This window comes from Homo sapiens, chromosome 6, assembly GCF_000001405.40.
Source record: "Homo sapiens chromosome 6, GRCh38.p14 Primary Assembly".
Classification (NCBI taxonomy): domain Eukaryota; kingdom Metazoa; phylum Chordata; class Mammalia; order Primates; family Hominidae; genus Homo; species Homo sapiens.
The window spans coordinates 12,900,237-12,918,466 of record NC_000006.12 but is presented as its reverse complement, the minus strand read 5'-3'; the positions used below and the strand labels follow the sequence as shown (position 1 = coordinate 12,918,466).

General features: G+C 42.6%; 1 protein-coding gene across 13 annotated transcripts in view; it reads right to left on the bottom strand.

Moving 5' to 3' along the window:
* Nucleotides 1-18,230, bottom strand: part of PHACTR1 (phosphatase and actin regulator 1) — a 571,071-nt gene that overhangs the window by 369,371 nt on the left and 183,470 nt on the right. Inside the window, exon 4 of one of the 13 annotated variants that reach the window (NM_001374584.1) lies at nt 14,461-15,802. The exons of the other annotated variants lie outside the window; for them this stretch is intronic. Within the exon in view, the coding sequence (NP_001361513.1) occupies nt 15,750-15,802 (53 nt within the window). The 3' untranslated portion in view covers nt 14,461-15,749. Of the gene's footprint in view, nt 1-14,460; nt 15,803-18,230 lie in introns of those variants that run through there. 13 annotated transcript variants of the gene reach the window in all.

Here is an 18,230-nt window from a genome sequence, read left to right as displayed (position 1 = left end):
CAATGTGTGCTCAAGTCCTTTCACTAGGTAGAGATGCAATTAAGTATAAAACAAAATTGTGTTTGCAATTTGAAGTATACGGATATGTGTGTGTGATTACATTGGCTACAGCATAAAAATTAACTCTAGACTGTTCAAAAAGAGTAATGGAAATTTTAAAATGTCAGCCTAGTGTTTCCCCAGAACTCTGATGATTCCTAGATGAGGAGGAAAGTGTCAAGGAGATTTGCGAGTGGGCCAAATAGCCAGCCTTCAACCTAAGGCAAGTCCTGTCTGGTGGAAATATATTTGTGGCTCTTTATAGGGATGGTTACCTGGAATGACTTATAAAGGTGATCCATGGTGCAATGCTTTTGTTTGCCTGGGAATAACACAGCATGGGAGAGCACAGGATGAAAGCTAAGAGTGACACGCCATTCCTGTTGTCATTGTATCTGTTTCATATCACTATGAATGGTGCCAAAGCTCCACATCATAGAAGGCAGGATAGCATTTTTGTGGTTCTTTTTAGTTACCATTGAACACGAATTGCATTCTGTGTTTAGTGCACAATCAGAATAGTGGTGCCTGAATTTCCAGTCACCCTAAATTCCCGAGTTCTGAGTTCCTGAGTACAACTCAGTGAGAGTCAGTATTGACATGAGGGGCGATATTCACCTCTCGGTTTGAGCTGCTTTTCCTTTGTTTGTTCATTTGTTCATTTTTATTTAGTTATGGATGGGGTCTTGCTGTTGCCCAGGCTGGAGTGTAGTGGCACAGTCGTAATTCACTGTAATCTCAAACTCCTGGGCTCAAGCAAACCTCCTACCTCTGTCTCCTGAATAGCTGGGACGATAGGCTCATGATGCCACCTGGCTAATTTTTATTTTTAACTTGTTTACAGACAGGGCCTCATTTTGTTGCCCAGGCTTGTCTCAAACTCCTGGCTTCAAGTAATCCTCCCACCTCAGACTCCCAAAGCACTGGGATTATAGGTGTGAGCCACTGCGCCTGGCCTGCTTGTCATTTATGACTCTACTTGGGGTTGACCAAAGGGAGCAAGCACAACATGAACATGAATGCTTCCGAGATGGCATGATCCCTGTTGAGGGTCAACCTAAACTGAAGATCTGGAGCTAGGCTCCACCCCATCCCAAGCAAGGCCATCCTGAGATGTTAACTGGCTAGAGAAAAATCCAGGCTATGCTACAAGTCTTGTGACAACTTCACTCAACAACACTTATTAGCACCCTCACTATAATAGAGAGGCTGATCTGAAAAACATAAACTGGTGTACAACTTGAAAAACTGTCCCCAGCCATGGAAAACATCATTGATTAAGCCAATATGAAGATTAAGTGAAGAATCCAAGTGCAGCATTGAACTTGGAGGCTGGCACACTTGCTTTGGAAGCCACAGTTATAATCACAGCTCACCTCTGCTACAACCAACCTTAAAAAGGTAATAGTATCCTTCAACTAGAAGTCGTTTGGATTTCTGAGTGAGCATGAGTGAAGCACTACAGTATCCTTGAATGCTGATATGTTGAAAGTAAAAAAACATTAGTCATTCATCACTTTGACAATTTATTCTACTCAAGAGCCCGGGCCCAGAAATATCCAATTCTCCTGAGATTTATTAGTTATTAATCATTTTGAGTTAGCAAATGAAAATTTAGTGAGTGTCAACATTATGCTTTATATTAAGGGTGCACATATTGGAAGATCTAGCATTTTAATTTTGATCTATTTTTGTCTCCTACAAGATAGGTATCCTGACCATCTAAATGATGTTGCTCTCCCAACTGCAGAGACATGGCAATAAATTTGTCATATGGGCTGCTGGTGCTCTTTTCATCATTCATCCATTCATCATTCAACAGACATATACAGAATGCCTACTCTGTACTAGGTGCTGGGGATAAATTGTCAAAAAAAAAAAAAAAAACAGTCCATGCCCTCTAGTGTATAAACACTGACAAAGCCTGACGTGTAAACAAGTCATTTAAAATATTGTATCTTAAGACATAAAATGAGAGCAGAGAGAGAAAAATAACTAGCTGGCTGGAAAGATTTTAATAAGAATTGACATCTGAGGTGGAAATTGAAGGACAAATAGAAGTTTTCCACTGGAGAAAAGCAAGGAAGGGTATTCCACACAAGGGCGGTGAGTTGGTTTGAAGTAGAGCTGTGGAAATTCAGGGTTTTGTATGAGAAATTCAGTCTGATGGGAACTGAAAGATGAGGCTGCACAGACATGAAGATTGTGAGTAACCTGCTGCGAAGATGAGGAGTTTGGAAAAGGGAAGTCATAGAGGGAGGGTGGTTTTGTTTCGTTTTAAGTTAATAAACTAGTTTTTGGAGCAGTTTTAGGCTTATGGAAAACTGAGCAGGCAGAGATACCAATGTATTACCCTTTTTGCCACGCATTACAGAGATACCCATGTATTACCCTTTTCTCCACGCACAGTTTTGCCTGGTATTAACATCTCGCACTAGCTGATCAGGTACCAGAGGTTTTCAATCAAGGGCATAATAAAGATAATTTTGTTATTTTAGGAAGCTACCTAGTAGTCATGCAGGTATGGGGCTGGAATGAGAATGTACTGGTGGCAGGACAACCAGTCATGAGGCTGTGGCCAAAGTCCATGTGAGAGCAAAGAAGAGGATGAACTAACTCAGAGGTGGTAGGGGTGACGAAGCAGATGGGTTCAATTCTAGAGACATTTATCTGCTAAGTTGTTAGCAAGATTTGGCAACTAACTATGAGGAGTGAGTAGGAAGGAGTTTAGTTTGGGCAACTGTGCTGGTCAGATTTATTATAGCTCAGCTCCAAATTCACCTCTTAGTACCTGCTCTGTGATAGTAAACTGGACTCTAAGCATTTCTCTTCTACTATGTCCATGGAGGGTACTGGAGGGACATTGCAGGAAGAAGGGCACTTCTCCTCCTGTTTTTTTTTTTTTTCTTTTTTTTTTTTTTGAGAGAGAGTTTCACTCTATCACCCAGGCTGGAGTGCAGTGGAGTGATCTCAGCCCAGTGCAACCTCTGCCTCCTGGGTTCAAGCGATTCTCCTGCCTCAGCCTCCCAAGTATCTGAGATTACAGGTGCACATCACCTTGCCCTACTGATTTTTGTATTTTTAGTAGAGACAGGGTTTTGCCATGTTGCCCAGGCTAATCTCGAACTCCTGAGCTCAAAGTGATCCACCTGCCTTGGCCTCCCAAAATGCTGGGATTACAGGCGTGAGCCACTGCCCCTGGCTCCTCCTGGTTTTGATGCTGAGTTTTGCATTTTCTTGCTCTCACTCTGGTGGTGCAGATGTGTGTGTGTGTGGACATCCAAAGGCTCCCCAGCTGCACACCCAGAATATGCAGTCCCTTGGTCACCTCACTGCTCTGGCTTGCCCTGGCATCACATTGCTGAAGCCGTCTTTATGCAGACAAGACATACTCCAGGACTTGAGCTCCAACTCCCTTGTGAACTGCCCATCAACCTAGGCTCACCTTCATCACAGAGGGCCAGTTCCTGCTGCCGAGTGACTGTTGATCAGCTCTGGTGTGGACAACTCAGCCAAATTCTCCATCATCCAGTGGACTTCAAGGACACTTTCTCCAGTGGACCTGAACCTCAGTCCTTAGGAGGGGTCCCAGTTCCAAATTTGTCCTGACTTGCCTACTTTTCCTTAGCTCTAGACTGCCCTTAAGAGTCCTCTTTATAGTTACTCCACTGTCATAGTTTAATGATTTTTTTTAATATTGTTCCTTTTTTTCAGTTGACCGTGTGATTTCTGTCTCCTGATTGCTCCCCCTGAGAGAGCAACTGAGTGGATGGTGGTCCTTATTGAGACTGAGAAGGAGGAAAATCTTTTGGTGGTAAAGAGAATGAATTCATATTTGCAATTGCTACATTTAAGGTGTGTGTAGGACCTCCAGGCGGAGAAATCAAATAAGTGATTAGGGCAAGAATGTAGAACTCAGGTTGGTGATACAGATGTCTTCAGCGCATCTATAGTAGCTGAAGTGAAGTGCGGACATACAGTTTCAGAGCTAAGCGAGGTCAAGAATGGAATCCTTAGGATTCCCCAAGTTTAAGGACTAGGCAGAGTGAAGGAGCCAGCAAAAGAGGTGAGAAGGAGCAGACTCAGAGGTAGGAGGAGACCTAGCAGAAGCTGGAAGAAGAAGTTGCCTCTGTTGGGAGCAGTGGCTCATATCTGTAATCCCAGCACTTTGGGAGGCTGAGGCAGGCAGATCACAAGGTCAAGAGATTGAGACCATCCTGGCCAACATGGTGAAACCCCGTCTCTACTACAAATACAAAAATTAGCTGGGCATGGTGGCATGTGCTTGTAATCCCAGCTACCTGGGAGGCTTGTGCCTGTAATCCCAGCTACCTGGGAGGCTGAGGCAGGAGAATTGCTTGAATCTGGGAGGCGGAGGTAGCAGTAAGCTGAAATTGCGCCACTGCACTCCAGCCTGGCAACACAGCAAGACTCCTTATCAAAAAACAAAAAAACAAAAAAAGAAAAAGAAAAGAAAAGAAGTTGTCTCAGACCACTCAGTGGAATTGAGTGTCTTCAGAGTCTGCTTCAGGTTGTTCCCAGAAACAACATCTTCAAAAGTGTCAAAAATGAGTAGGGTGTAAACAGGTCACCTCTGTGACCACCTCCTGTTTGTGAACAGTGACGTGTTTGTTATTCAGGAACACCTGGGATATCGCTTCCTCTTCTTCATCATGAAACATGCCCAAAGGTTTGCAGCTCAGCTGCTGATGATTCTGGGCCACAAAAATCATCAGACCTCTCAGGATTTGAGGCCCTGAGATCCTCTCTGATTTTGAGAGGGGCTGAGATAAATGTGCGATGCATTATGCTACTCCAGAGCTGGAGTTTGATAAGGATACCAGAAAAATCATCCCACCTCTAAGGAGTTCTCTCGTACTAGAGAGCATGCAGGGTGGGCCTCTGGAGTCAGCTGGGAGCCCCTATATGATTTGAGAACAGTTTTATCCATTCGGACATTTCCTGGGGAGACATGGTCTCAGATGGAAGCTGTTAGCGTTTAATCAGTCCTACCAAGTTCAAGGTTGCCCAGTGCCTAACTGTCATATGGCTCTTTGGATTTGCAGCAACGGGGTCGTGGGACTTTGTGTGCTAAAATTTGAGTGAAGGTTTTGACATTTTAAGTGCTCTTGGGACACAGTGAGAGCTCACGGCCAATTTGCCTGACAGCCTAGCCTCACAGGCTAGTCACCTGATGACCTCTGGAGCCAGTGCTGTTCCATATTCTGCATGATCTCTTTCCAAGGAGACATCATCCTTTGTGCTTTTATCAGATGGGAACAATTTAAAATGTTTTGGTTGTATGTCTACCTTGGGTTTTTCTGTAGGAAACTTGGTTTCTGATCGGATATTGCTAAAGTATGCATGCTGGGAGATAGGGGAACAGGTATGAAGCTTTTTCAGGCATGACAAATCCCTCCTACAAAATATATTTATGATGGCTTTAAAAGCCAGGTTTTTGTTTGTTTGTTTTGAGACAGGGTCTCATTCCAGTTGCCCAGGCTGGAGTGCAGTGGCATAATCTCAGCTCACTGCAGCCTTGGCCTCTGGGGCTCAGGTGATCCTCCCACCTCAGCCTCTTGAGTAGCTGGGGCTACAGGCACGCACCACCACACCTGGCTAATTTTTTGTATTTTTAGTAGAGATGGGGTTTTGCCATATTGCCCTGGCTAATTTCGAACTCCTGGGCTCAAGCAATCTGCCTGCCTCAGCCTCCCAAAGTGATGGGATTACAGGCATGAGCCATTGCGCCCAGCCTACAAGCCAATTTTTTAGAACCTTCATTTCTTAGATAAATGAGGATGAAACAAACCTATTCCTCAGCAAAGGTATGCTATCAGGGTGGGGGAGTGGAAGGCATGGGGGAAACAGGCCCAACGTGAGTAACATCTACATCCCTTGCATGTTTACTTTTATACCAAGCATAGCTTCACTTTAGAGGTATGCACTAAAATTACCAGCCAGAAAAACCTTTTCAAAACTGGACAACGGAGTCTCTCTTTGGATAACATGATGTGGGCACCACAGATAATGGAAAAAATTACCAACATAGGCCCTCTGATTAGTGTTACAAATAGGGTCCCCTGGGGGCCTACCCTTGTCTGCTCTTGAGATTAAATGCTGTTTTGGGCCAAGCACGGTGGCTCATGCCTGTAATCCCAGCACTTTGGGAGGACAAGGTGGGTGGATCACCTGAGGTCAGGAGTTCAAGACCAGCCTGGCCAACATGGCAAAATCCCGTCTCTATTAAAAATACAAAAAAATTAGCCAGGCATGGTGGTGCATGCCTGTAATTCCAGCTACTCGAGAGGCTGAGGCCGGAGAATCACTTGAACCTGGGAGGCGGAGGTTGCAGTGAGCCGAGATCTCACCACTGCACTCCAGCCTGGGTGACAGAGCGAGATTCCGTCTCAAATAAATAAACAAACAAACAAATAAATAAATAAAATGCAGCTTTGAGGTACAACACTCATCACATGTCTCTCTGTCCTAAATGATGTATTTTCCTTTCACCTTCCTCTTTGATTGATTTGTTTTCAGGTAATAAAGTTAATAGAGCTTTCTGGAGAGGATTTCACAGTTGGTGGTGGAGAAGACTTAGCTACTTTAAATGACAATGAGATTATTTTGTAAAGCTCTTTGGAAAGGGTACAAAGGCACTTATAAATGTATCCATTATAAACCCCCTGAAAGATAGCAAAACTGCAAAGGCTGCTGGTTTTCAGCTGAGACGCCAGCGGTCACCCTGGATTTTTTTTTTAAACAAAAAATCATTTGAGTATCATAGGCTCTGGACTTTGCTTTTGAACTAGATAATCTTTGTGCCATCCTGCAGAAAAACAGCCACATTATTATTTAACATATGTTGCCCTCTAGCAGACACCTCAGTATTGCAAGCATTTTATTCAGAAATTGTTTTTACTTACCAGCTCTCTGGCAAGTTCACAGAAAAGCTAGACTTTCTCACCAGCTAAGATAAAGGATATGCAATATTTTTAAAAGTGTATTTTCCTCTGGGGATTCTTTTCCAAAGTAAGATATGGTGTGATATATATTCTAATTCTCTTTCTTTCTTTTTTTTTGGAAGACACAAAACCCCAATGTTGATTTCTGAAACACAAAGCCCCCAATGTCGATTTCTGCAGAAACTAGAAGAAACACAGAAAATTGAAACGAACCTACAAAGAGTTTGGAAATCACATATGGCCATGAGATCTATGGCTAGGCAGAATCCACAACATGGGAAGTCAGGAAATGAAAGGTAGTGAGCCTTCTAAGTCAACAGGGATTTCCTGAGCACCAGTTTTGCACAGCTTTGTTAAGTGTTGTAGGGGATTGGCTTGCAAACTGTTTGTGAGGTTGTGATTGGACACCTTGGGGACTGTTCCTCACCATCTCCATGCAGCCCCTTTGCCAGCCAAACTGAGCTTTCATGCCAGTCAGAAATGGTGTTTCCCTCTGAGCTCCTATGCCACTTTGCCACCCTTGGGATGCCTGCCACATGACACCATGCGCCACAGTTCTATGTGTACATGTCCCATCTTCCCATCTCTAAGGTTCCCAGAGACTCACTTGCTGAACTGCCATAGTGCAGCAGAGCCAGCCAGATCTGATTCAGATCCAGGCTTTGCCACTTAACCTGTCTTTGCACCTTAGTTTTCTCATCTGCAAAATGGGAAAATGCCCATCTTCATGACTATGTGGAAGATTAGAGAATGGCCTGCTCATAGTGGGCATCCAGTAGACGGCGGCTATTACTGACAAAAGGGGACTTCTGTCAATAATAATATGTACGTGCTCATGGTGCTGATGAACAAAGCTGCAACTGGATCCTTGGTTACTGTTTCCTAATTTACTTAAAGAGGAAAAAGTTGAAGGTATTTATTTTCACTTGGTAAAGCCTGTTTGTTTTTCTTAGCAATACATTTTCCTAGAGAAAAAAAGAATTTGATCAAGCAGATTTTCTTTTCCTATTTTTCAAAACAAGTACTATATGCATTTTGTTAGTGCATGAGTCTGCCAATTCTCATTGGCCTGGTATCCTCCTACGATTATGCTTGGACACCTATCACTAGACACCTAAGGTTTTATAAGACATGAACTGGCAAGTGGGAGACAAATGCATCCTGGGGGGCCATTATTAGAGTTTCAGTGGTTATGGCACATTGCTGCTGATAGATACACTAAAGGGCCTGATATAATCCTTGGTCTATCAGCTTATACAGTAGAGCTCGTCTAGGAAGATGTGCAGCAGAAAACCTGCCTACTCCTCCCTCTTGGCTGGTCTGGGGCCCCAAGTGTTTTATACAAAGCCTGGACTTGGCTCTGATCTACACAGAATTGAAGAGCAGATGGGCTCATATAAAGGAGCTGAGCCAAGGGAGATTAAGCAGCTCTGTTCTCTAGAACTCACTGCCACCACCAGGCGAAGGCTGCGGAGTTTGCCAGGGCAGGGCTGGACAGATACTGAAGGCAACTGGGATCTTCGAATGTGGGGCTTGGAGAGATCACCAATGGTTGTTTGTTAGAAGTTGAAGAATAGTGGGAATCGTAAGCCCTGGGTATGCAAGAGTGGTGAGCTTAGACGCTACTGGGCATGTCTTCTAGGGAAATTTCAAATATTCATGGGGGAGGTCCAAGGGAATGCTGCCGATCTTAAGTCACAGCAGCAGCCAGGATGCTCTCCCCTTGATTTAGGCATTGGTCCAGTTTCAAATGAACTCTCATGAAGACTCCACTTGGCAACTGTACTACACTGGCATTCAACCTGGAGGGGATACATGGGCCATTGTATTTACACTGCACTTTTACAAATGAGCAAGGTTGTTTTCACCTACTCATAACAATCATTTCTTTCATCTACCTCTTATGAAGACACCGCATCCGGCTCGATGCCATGCCCTTCATATTTTTAAATTCACATCCATGTTCAATTAGTGTAATTACAAAAATAAATTTAAAACCAATTACTCCCGCATATAATTATACATCTCACAACTCAGCATTTGCAGATAAAGGAAGCCATAGCTGTTATGACAATAGTTCCTAATAGCCTGGAACTGTGAATTAATTGCAGTTTAAGACGGCACCACAATGTAAATAGTGACATCGTTATTATTGCAAGATCACTGCACCACAAGGAAGAATAGGTTGCAGTGAAATTGTGGGAGAAGGGTCACTAGTTTCCATCAACATGTAACCAAATGGTGGGGAGATGGGCAAGAGTATGACATGAAATGACTGAAAAAGTTGGAGTCTTTAAGAAAAAAAATTTTGTTTTTAATCTTCCTGACCATTTGTTTCACTCACATCCACTCAAGTACTGAGGAGTCCTGGAGACTTCACCTCTGTGACAATGTGGGTCCTCACCTTGCCTCTCCACCTCCATTGCCTAAGTACTGCTATGCACTGATCATTTCTGTTTCCCCCCACCGTCTCCTCATGCCATCTTCTTCTCTCTATGCAGCCACCTGATGCATTTTGCTAAATTGAAATTTGACGGTATCATTTCTAGGCTTAAAATCATCCAGTGGTTCTTTATGGCTAGCAGGAAAGCGGTTCTCATGTTGTCAAGCAAACCTACAAGGACCTACAAGGAGATGTGCGGCTTCCTGCCTGCCATGGGTCATCTCCTTCCTCCTGTTCCTCCTACCGCTTGGGCATCCAGCACCCGGCTGACCTGCAGTTCCATGAGCACACTGTTCTTAACCTTTGCATGTGCCTGTGCTCCCTCTTTGTGGAGGACCACACAGAGGCTGGCCCCACTTCCCCACCCAGCTCCATGCCATAGTCACCTGCCCCATTCTTATCTGCCTTTCAAGATTCAGCTCACACTTCACCTCCTTTGCCAGACATTCCTTGACTGCTGCAGGCAGAATTGTCTCCTCCATCATATTTGCACAGCACCCTTTTTTTTTTTTAAATCTCTGCAACTGCACTTAGCACATTTTATTATTCTTTCCACGTATGCACTGGCTTCTTCACTAGACTGTGAATGCGTTAGGGACAGCCACCAAGCTTTCCATCCTATTTATCCCTGGGACTGAGCTCACTGCTTCATCTATAATAGGCAGTCTCCATATTATTGTCCAATTCTATTTTTAATTTCGGTTTATTTTCTTTACATAAACTCATAAAGTAAAACAGGAAAAGTTTGGTCTGGAGAAGCAAAGATGAAGGGGAACTCGATAACGATCTTGAAGAATTTGAAGGGTTGTCCTATGAGAAAGGATTTGGGCTTGTTCTACCAGGCCCAGGTGCGATTCTTGGTTGATGGATGGAAGGCATAGTGAGATAGATATTAGATCAATATAAAGAAGAACATCCCTAAATGTCAACTGTTCAAAAAAAGAATAAGCTGTCTCTTGAGTTAGTTGGTGAATGTCTCACAGCTACATAGGCTAAGCTGGAGATTTTGTGGGAATTATTCAAGAATCACATAGATGGACACACAGGTTGTCTTTTTATATTGTGAAATAATAATTAAAACATGACATTGATGTTCCATTATACTACCACTCTGCATCGTAAGAAAAGGCCTCAAGGAGCCTCTAACAAGGTAGAACAAAACTCATGGAAGGAACCTGGACATCTTTCTTGAAAGCTCACAAACTTTAATAGTGACCAAGCCATCCCAATTCTATCTTCTTAACACCTTCCACTCTCATCTCTCTTATTTAACCCCTTTGCCTCTGGTGTATAGAGGCCCTCACAAACTCCAACCTAGACTATGGTTCTACTCTTCTAATATCCTGAATTAGTACCCACTCCTTCTTCTTCAAGAAAGATGTCCAGGTTCCTTCTGTGAATTTGGTACCAGGCTGATTTGGAGACAGTGATCATGTTTGAATGTACTGGGGAAAAATTAATGAAATTTCTAGATCTTCAAAACTGAGGACCAACCTTAGATCAAAATGACCTCCACAAGTAGTTCTACCTTGTTAGAGGCTCCTTGAGTGGAAATGAATGCTTTCAAATTGCAATAACTACATAGAAATAAAAGACACTAGCAACTATTCATAGAAGTCTTATATAGTGGAGAGCACATAAGTGAAATTGCTCATGATTTTCAAACTTCTCTCCTTCTTCCCTTATCTGGTTCTCTGGAGAAATAAAAACCTCAAGCTGATTAGGTTTGGTTAACTTATTTCTACTTTAAACTATAATTATTTTTCTGATGCACTAGTAATATGAGCTTCTAAGAGTTGCCCAGACAGTTGACTAACCAAAGAGAATTTTGTAATGTAACGGAAAAAGCCAATTGTTCATTGAAGGGAAATATGTCAGTAGCTGAAAGGACTTTAAAAAGAGGAAATGCCAACTATAGAATCTAGTTAATATTTTAAATTAGATCTTCATTTTTATCTAGTGGAAATATTAAAAATTTGAAGGAGGAAATAGAGAAACCTTATAATAACATGATTACCAGTATTGGCCAACTCTTAGTTTATCTGCCTCAATTCCTTTCTCAGGGAACTACTCTGTGCCTCTTCATGTGGTTCTGATGGGTCCATCCTTCAAGTGTGCTGTCCAATCACAGTGGTCGAGCCAAGTGTCAATCAGAAAGCCTAATTTCTCTAAATGTAATCATTGATCCAGAGTGGACACGTGACCCAACCAGAGCCAATTGGAGTTCTTTTGGGGGACTGGAAAGCTTCACTGAGAGTGGGTTTCCCATTCAAAGGTCATGAAGTGTATTCAGTTTCCTCTGTGTAGAAAGATCCTGCTAGAAAACGAAGACAACAGAACCAAGAGATGGAGACACATAGAAAGGGTCATGATGACACTTAAGGGTCTGTGTTCATCCTTGCCTGAGCTAGTACTATCCCTAGAGCCAAAAAATTCTCCTTTTATGTATTTATTTATTTTTAGTTAATTTTGGATTTTAAAGGAGAGAATACTGACTGATTTCATACTCTGCATTGAATAGTGCTTTTTAGTTCTCAAAGCTAAAAACATACAGATGATCTGAGAGAAGGAAATATTTTAGTTTATTATCAAGAGCACTTTTCATTGAAAGCTCTGAAAGCATCTTTAAACATGAGGTTTTTGGAGGGAGAAAAGGCTGACCCCTTGAGCACTCTAGCTCTATGATCATAGGAAATGAGAAAATAGAAACACATAATTTATATGTATTGTAAGCCAAGTATCAATTCTGAAATGTTTTGATATCCCTCCCAAATCCCTAGATTGCAGTAATTCTATAGTCGAATGCCACTGAGCATAAGAAGTAATATATTTTTAAGTCATTCTAACTGGTGAAAACCAGAGCTGTCAATAGGCCAACTACCAGAGATTTCATTTTACACTCAGACCACAAGTGACATTTCCATGAATCTGACTATCTCATATATAGACAATGACAGACACACAAAATGTGCCTTAATTAGTCTATTACATAAATAGAAAAGCAGAAATAAAGTGAGAGAAAGGCAACTTGCAAAACCATTCCACTTCTGTTCTAGAACTTTAAAATAGTTAGAAGCAATACTAAAAGTTATTCATTCAACCTCTTTACTATGCTATGTTGGGACACTGTCACACATACATCCCAGGAAATTTAATTAATGAGATGTTGCCACGTAGGAATATTCTAAGCCCCTACTATCCTAATATCATCTTAAATGTATAAAAGGTGCCCACTGACTTAAACTGATAAGTTAAATATAAAGCAATATGAATTTATGGTTGTTACATGAAACTGGCAAATACTCCTCACTCAAGCCACCAAAATCCTGTCTTTGGACCTCTCTTCTCTGCCTGGTTAATTCCTTGTCATCACCTTCTCTGGATGTGCTGTCATGCCCTCTCCCTCCTGAGCCTGTTTTAGTTATCCCTCTCCTGCTGTCTGTCACATAGAACTGTCACTCTCCTCTATCTCCTTCACTAGACCGGAAATGACAGCAAAGACCGTGTCACCCTCAGTTCTGGACCCCAGAAGAATAGCACAGTTCCTAGCATATAGGATGTGTTCGACAAATTTTGTACTTAAATGAATATATGGCTGCTGATTAGACACATAGTATGGGAACAGGCAGCTCTAGAACCAGCGCTGAAGGTCTTATTAAAAGATACCCATCACTTTAAACTAGTTTGAGTTTAAGGACAGGAATATACATTCCAATGGATCTTACCTTGAAAATGTGCTTCAGTGGTTGTTTACCACCAAACCTTTGACTTCCTATGAGGACACTGGTCCTGCACCCCGTTAGCTCCATGCTTTTCCACCCTGGGTGGTCATTAGAATCCCCTGGAGAAACTTTAAAAATCTATAGCTATCTTGTCCCCATTTAAGCCAGGCTCCATGGGGTTGGGACCAGGCATCATAATTTTTCAAAAGTTCCCCAGGTGATTTTGACGTTCAGTGCAGGGTTGAGAAACATGGAATTAGTTGGTGGGTAGAAGCCTCCCCTACCATCAAGTGGGCTTTCCACTGGACTTTCCTGCTATTTTTATGAAACTAGTTGGAATCCTGGCCCAATAAATAGCACTTATTGCTGAGTGCTCACTGCATGCCAGGGACTTTGCATACCTCATCTCAACAAAATCACTATTGTTCCCTTTATATACAAAAAGAAATTGAGGCTCAAAGGGATTAAGAAGCAGCAGCGATGAGATTGAGATCCACCTCTCTCAGAAGTCAGACCGTGCCCTTTACATGACATATTAGGCTGGTTGGATGGGGTTCTGATTGTGCTAGACTGAGTCCGGGTCAGTGCCTCGGGGTATGTAGCTGGTTCACCCTGCAGGTAAAGAGTCATTTATCCTTCCCCAAGTCAAAGAGGTGTTAGGAAAATGAAGGTGGAAAGGTTTAATGTTTGATGTGATTCTTACGGCAAGTAAACTACTGTAATGAGTAGTTTCTGTTCTTTCTTCACTTTTTTTTTTTTTTTTGAGATGGAGTTTTGCTCTTGCTGCCCAGGCTGGAGTGCAGTGGGAAGATCTCAGCTCACCACAACCTCCGCCTCCCGGGTTCAAGCAATTCTCCTGCCTCAGGCTCCCAAGTAGCTGGGATTACAGGCACCTGCCACCACGCCTGGCTATTTTTTTTGTATTTTTAGTAGAGATGGGGTTTCACCATGTTGGGCAGGCTGGTCTTGAACTCCTGACCTCAGAGCCTCCTATATTGCTGGGGTTACAGGCATGAGCCACTGCACCCGGCCGTAATGAGTAGTTTCTATAAAAGAGACTAGTTTAAAGACAAAAGGAAATGCTAAAAGAAAGCCCTAACTATTGCCTTTATATATAGTTTATTTGTTAATTCATATGTATGTTTTGGTTATTTAATAAACATAAATGAAAATGTCTTCTCTGTTCCAGATGCTGCATGATATGCTGGAGATATGTAAAAGAATAGCTCAGTAATCCCCTAAATCTTAAAATGAATGCAGGCATTGTGTCAAAATAATAATAAGCAAACTCTCCACTAAAAATTATTTTTAATAGTTAAAAACAGGAATTGACTTTAAAAGTTTTAAGGCTCTCACCTCCTTAATAAGATGCTAAATTATAAAACATATGGCATTATCAGGAAATAAGAAGAAACAAAAAAATCATAGATATCCCAGTTGAATTCCTGACCCATTTAGAATGGTTTAGGAATTGTTAGTAGGCTGAAATCTCTCTTAATTTACCACAGACTTTATACATATTTTAAAACTCAGCTCGTGGAAAATATAACTATGGCCAATGATTTTAAGCTATTTTTATATGATCTCAAGGGCATAGACATATTTATTACCTTTAATAAAGTAATTAAAGTCCCATTTTACTCATGCTTCTTAATGATTATGTACTGAGTTATTAGGGAGAAGGCTATAAACCTTTCTAAGGGCAAAGGCCAGGAGGGCAGAATAAACCAGTGGGGAGCCTTGGAGAATTGCACCCAATGTGCTCATTCTTAAATAGGAAAGAGGAAACAACCCATGTCAAGAAGGATGGAGTCCAGTCCTGTTGCCCTTGTAAGGAAGTGAAATTTGTTTAGCTTCTTCTTTAACCTTGCAGTGAGGCAACCTTTGGCTATGCTGACCACGTGCATGATACATTTGGACTAATGCTATTTTAGGTTGGTATTAGTGATGGGAACATTCACTTCTTGGCTCCTACTTGAAGACATGTCTCCCTTTAATAATATCCACCCTTTACCACACAGTTGCTTTGTGCCTTATACTGTTCTAAGTGCTTTCCTTATCCTTATTCATTTGATCCTCTCAGGAACCCTTGACGGCATTCCCACCTTATAAATAAGGAAACTGAGGAACACAGTGGTTAAGGAAGGTGGCCAAGTCTCCCAGGTAATGCATGGCAGAGCTGGGAGCCGAAAGCAGGTGTCTGGCTGCAGGACCCTCGCTCTTCACCACCACACTTTGTCACCTCTCATGAAGACGTTTGCTTCTCTTCTTCCTTCACCTCAAATTCGTAAGTTGAAAAAGCCACCAGGGATGTTTGGAACTCATGGAGGAAGGCAGTCACAAGGGGCCGGTTGGGTCTCGACAAATGGTGTCATTGCCCTAAGTAAGCTGAGTGTCTTCTGGGGACCGGGTTGCTGGGGTCTTAAGTGGCCTGTTGAGATGGACAGTGTGGGTTTGTTCAGCTTTATCAAAATATGGATAGTTCATCCTGCTTTGAGAGAGTAGTGAGCGAATCTGCACATTCTCCAGGCCAGTTATATGTTCTTCATATATTGATGAATGTATTGATTCATTCAATCATCATCCAGTTGATTGATGGAGCAATCGAACATTCAAGAGGAAGAAAATGAATGCTGGGAAAAGAAAATCCAGGTTATGCCCCTCAGCCTAGGAAAGATGTGGAGAAAAGTGATACCACAGAGATGAACTGGGACACTGTTTGTTGATGGAGCTGACACTATGTTTACCCGAGGAGATGTTGTATGTTCATCCAATGGAAGAACCTAGAAGTTCATCCAATGGACGAACCTAGAAGTATTGGAAGGTAAGGGGAAGATTGTTGGGAAAACTCATTATAGTAGGTTCTTTATTTTTGGAGACAGGATCTTGCTCTGTCGCCCAGGCTGGAGTGCAGTTGTGTGCTCTCTGGTCACTGCAACTTCTGCCTCCCGAGTTCAAGTGACTCTCCTGTCTCAGCCTCTTGAGTAGCTGATATTACAGGTACGTGCCACCATATCCAGCTAATTTTTGTATTTTTAATAGAGACAGCGTTTCGCCATTTTGGCCAGGCTGGTCTCGAACTCCTGACATCAGGTGATCCACCTCCCTCCGTCCCCCAAAGTGCTGGGATTATAGGCATGAGCCACCAGGCCTGGCCTATAGCAGGTTCTTAATCTCAGTTCTGCTGACCTTGAGGGCTGGATCATTTGCATTGTCTGCAAGGGGATGTCCTGTGCATGTAGGGGGCTTAGCAACTCCCTGGCTACACTGTTAGATGCCAGTAGCATTCTCCAGCCCCTCCCAAGTTATGACAACCAAAAACGTCCCAGACATTGCCAAATGTCCCCTGGAGAGCAAAATTCCCCCCACTTCCCTTGTTGAGAAACCACTGTCAAGCATAGACACTGGAGTTTATTTTTCAGGGATTCCAGGCTGTCTAAGGTGGTTGATTCTTTTTTCTGTCTTAGTCTGTACAATAAGAAAGCTTATATAAAAACGCTTGGGCCAGGTGCGGTGGCTCACCCCTGTAATCTCAGCACTTTGAGAGGCTAAGGCGGGTGGATCACCTGAGGTCAGGAGTTCGAGACCAGCCTGACCAACATGGTGAAACCCCGTTTCTACCAAAAAATACAAAAATTAGTCAGGCATGGTGGCGGGCGCCGGTAATCCCAGCTACTCGGGAGGCTGAGGCAGGAGAATTGCTTGAACCCAGGAGGCGGAGGTTGCAGTGAGCCAAGATTGTGCCATTGCACTCCAGCCTGGGCGACAGAGCAGGACTCCATCTCAAAACAAACAAACCAAAAAATGCGTGAAATCCATTTTATTTTCTCTGCCCTCTCTCCCTCCCTCTTTCCTCCTTTCCTCCAACCTTTCCTTCCCTCCTTTCTCTCTGCTTTCTTCCTTTGCATTAGCTTTTTGGATCACATTACCATCTTTGGGGAGGATTACAAGAGGAGCCTCTTGTTCTTAGGTATCCTCTACTTTCTTCACTTACAATGAAGGCCAAGAAGCAGCTGTCTATGTACAGAAATAGGCTGTAGTAATGTTTTTGGTACCGGTGTGTAGATACTGTTGCAAAATCACTGTTAGAAGCAGAAAAGAGAATCCTTATTCTCCAGTAGCCCAACAGGGCCTCCATCAGCCCATGGTTTGCCTCACTTCCTGACTCAGTGCTCCTTATTTCTTTACTTACAAAGAAACAAAGTGAAAGAACATGCCTGGAATGGGCTCCTGATCCCCTTACCCTCTCCCCTAGGAGGTACCCTCAGCAAGAAAACACACATTCCTCCCAAGAGCAGGGCCGCCTACAGATTGTCCCTTTATCAACATGCTTTCTCAACTGCCCTTCGTAAAAAAAGAAAAAGATAACATTTAAACATAAAAATGGAAGGTAACACTTACCTGAGCAATGAAAGAAAAAACAAGCAAAAGAGGTTTAAACATCAAGCAAAACGTCGAGTTAAAACGAAAACACACACACAAGAGTTAGGAATGATTAGTGAAAAGTAGATAAAGTAAAAATGAGGCAAAGAATAATTCATATACAAGTCAGGCACTGAACATGGACTTTAATATAAAAATTGATATGTATATATATTTTGAGACAGGGTCTCACTGTGTTGCCCAGGCTGGAGTACAATGGCACAATCTCTGCTCACTGCAGCCTCTACCTCCTGGGCTCAGGTAATCCTCCCCACTCAGCCGCCCAAGTAGCTGGGACTACAGGCACACACCAGTACGCCTGGCGTAGTGTATTTTTGTATTTTTTGTAGAGACAGGGTTTCGCCATGTTGTCCAGGCTGGCCTCAAACTCCTGGACTTAAGCAATCCACTCACCTCAGCTTCCCATGATAAAATATTAAAATAAGCCAAGACAATGCAAAAGAACAAACAATTTTAGAGACCAGAAAATGTAAAGCTTGAAAGCCTCTCAGCACAAGATGAGTGGGAGTTAAAGTAAGATGAAAGTAATAATAAATCACAAGATAAAGGTATCCGCTTCGAAAAAAAAAATGATGAGCTAAATGGAAGTTGTTTAAAAACAACAGAAAGAGGGGGAAG